At 45.9% G+C, this 5,085-nt stretch overlaps 1 protein-coding gene across 1 annotated transcript in view; it reads left to right on the forward strand.

Annotated features, from left to right (window-relative positions):
• COPG1 (coat protein complex I subunit gamma 1) overlaps positions 1-4,134 on the forward strand; it is a 28,168-nt gene extending 24,034 nt beyond the window's left edge. Inside the window, exons 22-24 of the mRNA NM_016128.4 lie at positions 1,199-1,337; positions 1,555-1,653; positions 3,655-4,134. Coding sequence (NP_057212.1) covers positions 1,199-1,337; positions 1,555-1,653; positions 3,655-3,785 — 369 coding nt within the window. The 3' untranslated portion in view covers positions 3,786-4,134. The remainder of the gene's footprint in view (positions 1-1,198; positions 1,338-1,554; positions 1,654-3,654) is intronic.

Consider the following 5,085-nt stretch of genomic DNA (forward strand, 5'->3'; position numbering starts at 1 on the left):
GGTTTCCATATTTTCACTATTTATATTGCTGCATTAAATATCCCTTTAGATACAAATTTTTATCTGCATTTTAGATTATTTCTTTAGGATAGATTCCTAGAAGGAGAATAGTTGGGTCAAAGGGTAAGCATGATTTTAAGACATTTTGATTCCTCTTGTCAAATGCTTTCTGGATAAATTTGACCTGTTTGCTGTGCTGGGCAGTCCTTTCATGCACTGGAATAGCCCTTCTAAATTCTCCTATCTTAGCTCGGTGGAACTAAGTACAGGATCCTTCTGAGGTCTGACTTTGGGGCAGTGGCTCAGGGCCATCTGAGTGCAGACCATTATGCTCAGCCTGTGGATGGGGACTGTTAGAACTCCTCCTGACTAGAGGGACAGTCACAGTGGAATACAACTGACATTCGCCATTGTGTCATCCTAGAGTCACAGTTGAGGATGGATGGACCTTCCTTGAGCTGGAAATGACCCCGAGGCAGGAGCTGCTCTAAGACCAAGTGAGCTCCTTGAGAGAGCTGGGTCTGTTTGAGCCCATCCAGAGATGAAGAAAAAAAAAAAAGAGAGAGAGAGCTGGGTCTAAGTTGTATTTATATACACTGTAAACATCCACAGGAGTAGGGCCTCAGTGAAAATCTGATGGGAGAATGAATGGGGAACCTTCATGTAGACTCAGTGGGAGTATTATGTGTCAAGTTCAGGGAAGACACAGCTGAAATGGAGATAGAGATTCAGGATCTGTCAAATCCAGAGGACACAGCTGGGGTAGGAGGTTTCTGCTAGTTTCTGCTGAACTAGAAACAGCTGCTGGTCCTGAAGAGCTCATCATCCCCTAGGAGGGACAGGCATAGGAAGCAGACCTCTGAGAATGCTATGTAATTCCCTGCATGCCAGGTCCTGGAAGCACTGACACTAGGCAGGCTTAGAAGAGATGTGATCTCACAGCAGGCGGCTCTAGGCTGAATTAGTAGATTGGTACTTGGGATTAGGGCGTTTTCTGTTGAAGGGATACCATTTGCCTTTGGGCACCTCAAGGATAGGTACCTGGTCAAGTTGCTCTATGTCCCCAGAGTCTAGCACAGTCCTCAGTGCCGAGCAAGCACCTGTGGAAAGAGTTGCAGGAAGGGATGTGTGGATGAGTTCAGAGCAGAGGCCCGTAGGTGTGTAGATGGGTGCCTGATTTCTACCTCCATCTCTCCAGCTGGAAGATCTGGAAGTTACTGTAGCTGATCACATTCAAAAGGTCATGAAACTGAACTTCGAAGCAGCCTGGGATGAGGTAGGGGATGAATTTGAGAAGGAGGAAACGTTCACCTTGTCTACCATCAAGACACTTGAAGGTAAAATCCTGGGAATGCCATCTCTGGCCTAATTACTGTTCAAGATCTTTGGCTACTATTGAAGTGCTCATCCCTTTTCTCTCCAAGGATCCAGGGCCATGTCTGGAGCACATATGTCAAATGCCACTTCATTAAAAGCCCTTCAGAACATGGGGGAGTGGTGGTGGCACAAAGGGCAGATAAGATGGCTTAACAATATTGGGATTTCTCATTACAGAGGCTGTGGGTAATATTGTGAAGTTCTTGGGAATGCACCCTTGTGAGAGGTCAGACAAAGTGCCGGATAACAAGAACACCCACACGTTGCTCCTGGCTGGTAAGTGGCATTTCTAGATGGGGAGGGCCTGGATAGCTTACAGCCTGGATGCCACTGGATCCTGGGCTAAGGACTCCACTGTAAATATGGGGAGTCAAAATTCACAGCATTTAAAATTCACAAAGTATAAAATAATCTGCAGCGAAATGTTTCCTCCCTACCTTGGCTGCCAGCCATTCAGATTCCCTTCCGAGAAGCGACCAGTGTTACTATTACAAACAATACTTGTATAACCTTGCGGTTATTTTATGGCTATAAAAGCTAATAGGAACGCATTTCCTTTTTTTAACTCAAATGTTTATGTACAAATGGTATATATATTGTCCTCCGATTTGCTTTTCACTTTACATTGCATCTTAGAGATCTTCCCCGTCAATATGTAGAGCTTCCTCATTCTTTTTCTTTTAATTGTGGTAAAATATACATAAAATTCACCATTTCGACCATTTTCAAGTGTATGGTTCAGCGGCATTAAGTACATTCACACTATTGTAAAACTATGACCACCATCCATCTCCAGAACTTTTTTCATCCCAAACTGAATCCTCATTTTTTTTATAGTTGCTTAGTATTCCATTGTGTGGATGCACCACATATTCTATGGAACAGCCACTACTGATGAACATTTAGTTTGATTTCAATCTCTTGCTATTACAGATGTTACAGTAAATAATCGTGTACACACACACACACACACACACACACAGTTTACTTTGCATGTGTACACTGAGAATATCTGTAGGATAAATTTTCCAAGGCATCACCAGTTCAAAGTGATTTGTGTTTCTCATCTTGATAAATAACTCCAAGTTGCCTTCCATAGAATTGTATACCTTTCTTCCTACACTGTGGACAACATAATATGTTACCACACTTTATGATCTTTTCCAGTCTGTGTGGACAATGATATCTTAGTGTAGTTTTTGTATTTTCAATGAAGTTAAGTATCTTCTTAAATGTTGAGGCATTTGTATTTCCTTTTCTGATCATTGTCTTCATATCCTTTGTCTTATTTTCTACAGGGTTGGCTGAGTGTACCCACACTCATTCTCCTTCCCAGATTATTTACTAGCAAACTCCAGAAATAGCATTTTATATGTAAATCCTGTATCTGTATGTTTCTCTAAGAGAGAATGACCCCTTCCCTTTTTTAAAGGACAATACAATTATCATACCTAAAACAGTTAACAAAAGGAAATGGGATGATTTTTTTTGGCTGAGTGTTTATAAACAGGGTTGAAAGGAGGCTCTGCTTCAGTACCCTGCCTACAGCTGACAGTTTGTAGCCACATTGAAACAACCTAGTCCCCTGGGTCTTGCAGACACCTGCCCTGTGGTTTTCTCGTGGTGGGGCTGTCCCCTTCATTTGTGCTCTCAGATTCAGTCAACGTGCAAGAGCCTCTGTGACATGAGATATAAGCCTTTTATGTCCATCAGTTCATTTGAACTTAGCAGAAGCCTGAAATATGGTATTATCATCCCTGCCACTTTGTAGTTGAGGATACTGAAGTCCTGAGAGACAGTGACTTTCTTTTTTTTTTTTTTTTTTGAGACGGAGTCTAGCTCTGTCACCCAGGCTGGCATGCAGTGGCACAATCTCTGCTCGCTGCAACCTCCGCCTCCCGGGTTCAAGCGATTCTCCTGCTTCAGCCTCCCGAGTAGCTGGGATTACAGGCGTCCACCACCATGCCCAGCTAATTTTCGTATTTTTAGTAGAGATGGGGTTTCACTGTGTTGGCCAGGCTGGTCTCGAATTCCTGACCTCATGATCTGCCCACCTCAGCCTCCCAAAGTGCTGGAATTACAAGCGTGAGCCACCGCGCCTGGCTGAGAGACAGTGACTTTCACAGTGAAATCCCTCACTCAGGGATTTCAGCCCAGCTCTCCTGCCCGTTTCACTACACCAGAGCTGCCTTCATGGGTTGCTGCAAATGCCATCCTTAGCCTGCCCTGTACAGTCCCTTCTGCTGTATATATCTGTACTTCTCTCTTCCCTTCTAGGTGTGTTCCGGGGTGGTCATGACATCCTGGTGCGCTCCCGGCTGCTGCTTTTGGACACAGTGACAATGCAGGTGACAGCCAGAAGTTTGGAGGAGCTGCCAGTAGACATCATCTTGGCATCTGTGGGATAAGAGGCCAGCCTGCATAGGACCTCATACCCTTCCCCAACACTACCTGGAAGTTGTGCCTTCCTCATGAAACTGGCAGAAACCCCTTCCCAAGCTTCTGTATTGAAAAACAATTAGGAATCATTGCAGATTTTTTTTTATTCTGCTCCCACCTCCCACCCGGGACTACTTGCTGGTGACTTTTTTTTTTTTTTTTTTTAAATAGGGGATGATTTTAGCTTGTCCTAAATCTTGCTGTCCACCCTTCCAGGAAAGGGACATTGTAAATGAATAAAACATTCTCAACTCCTCTTGAATCTATCCCCCAAGAAACCATCTTATCCCTGTAATAAATCAGCATGTATTTATTGAATGATTGCTACTTCTGCAGACTCATGCTTCAGGGCTCCACCTTCCCCTTCAAGGCCTCCCCTAAAGAGGCAGAACACCTGCCCTGTCCCCCTTGCACCCACAGCCCTTTGGCTGTTGTAGTCCTGTGAGGCAGGACCCTCTCCCCGTCATCGCTGTCCCAGCACCAAGCCCAGGGGTGGGAGCGGTAGAGGGTGGTTGAGTGAATCAGCTAACAGGCAGAGTTCACACTCCCTCCCGTTCGTGCTTCTTCACAACGCATCCTCCTTTGATAGTCGATAAATGGAGGCTCCAAAGGGCTTGGGTCCTGTGTCTGATCGTTCCAGCATCTGGTCTTACATGGAGTGTGCCCTGGGGTTTCTGCTCCCTGTTCAGTTCAGCGAATCAGCATAGGCGAACAGCCCTCTAGAGCATTCTCTGTTGGTTGCAGATGAAGAATCTCCGGTTTAGGTCCCAAGGGGAGCAGGCTTTTAAACTCAAGCCAGGCTATTTTACCAACTTTGAGGCCAAAGTACACCCGAAAGGGCTGTTTTAAAAATCTGGGCCTCACCCTTAGAGATTCAGCTGAGGGGCTGGGGCAGGAAAGGCTTATTCTAGTGCCCACCAATGTTTGAGGGCGAAGTGCGCGATTCCTGGAAGTTCTTCTGACTTTCATTTCTTCAGTGTTCCTCCATTTTTGCCTCGCACTGTGAGGCAGCTGGCAGGACTGTGAAGTAAGGAGTGGAGTTTCCTGGTTTCCCGCCTTCCATGACCCTGTGCCCTAGACTCAGCGCGGCGGGAACCTTCCCTGCCAGCCCTGAAACACGCTGGGGGCGGGGAGGAAGGTTAACCCCGCCAGGGAACGGCCAATATGGAGGAAAGTGGAGTCCCGAGAAGCTTGGGATCGATATGTCTCCCAAGGCAGTCACTGTCTCCTGGGGAAACGGGAGAAAATTCATCCCAAACCGGAGGGGAG

This window comes from Homo sapiens, chromosome 3 (assembly GCF_000001405.40).
Source record: "Homo sapiens chromosome 3, GRCh38.p14 Primary Assembly".
Lineage (NCBI taxonomy): Eukaryota > Metazoa > Chordata > Mammalia > Primates > Hominidae > Homo > Homo sapiens.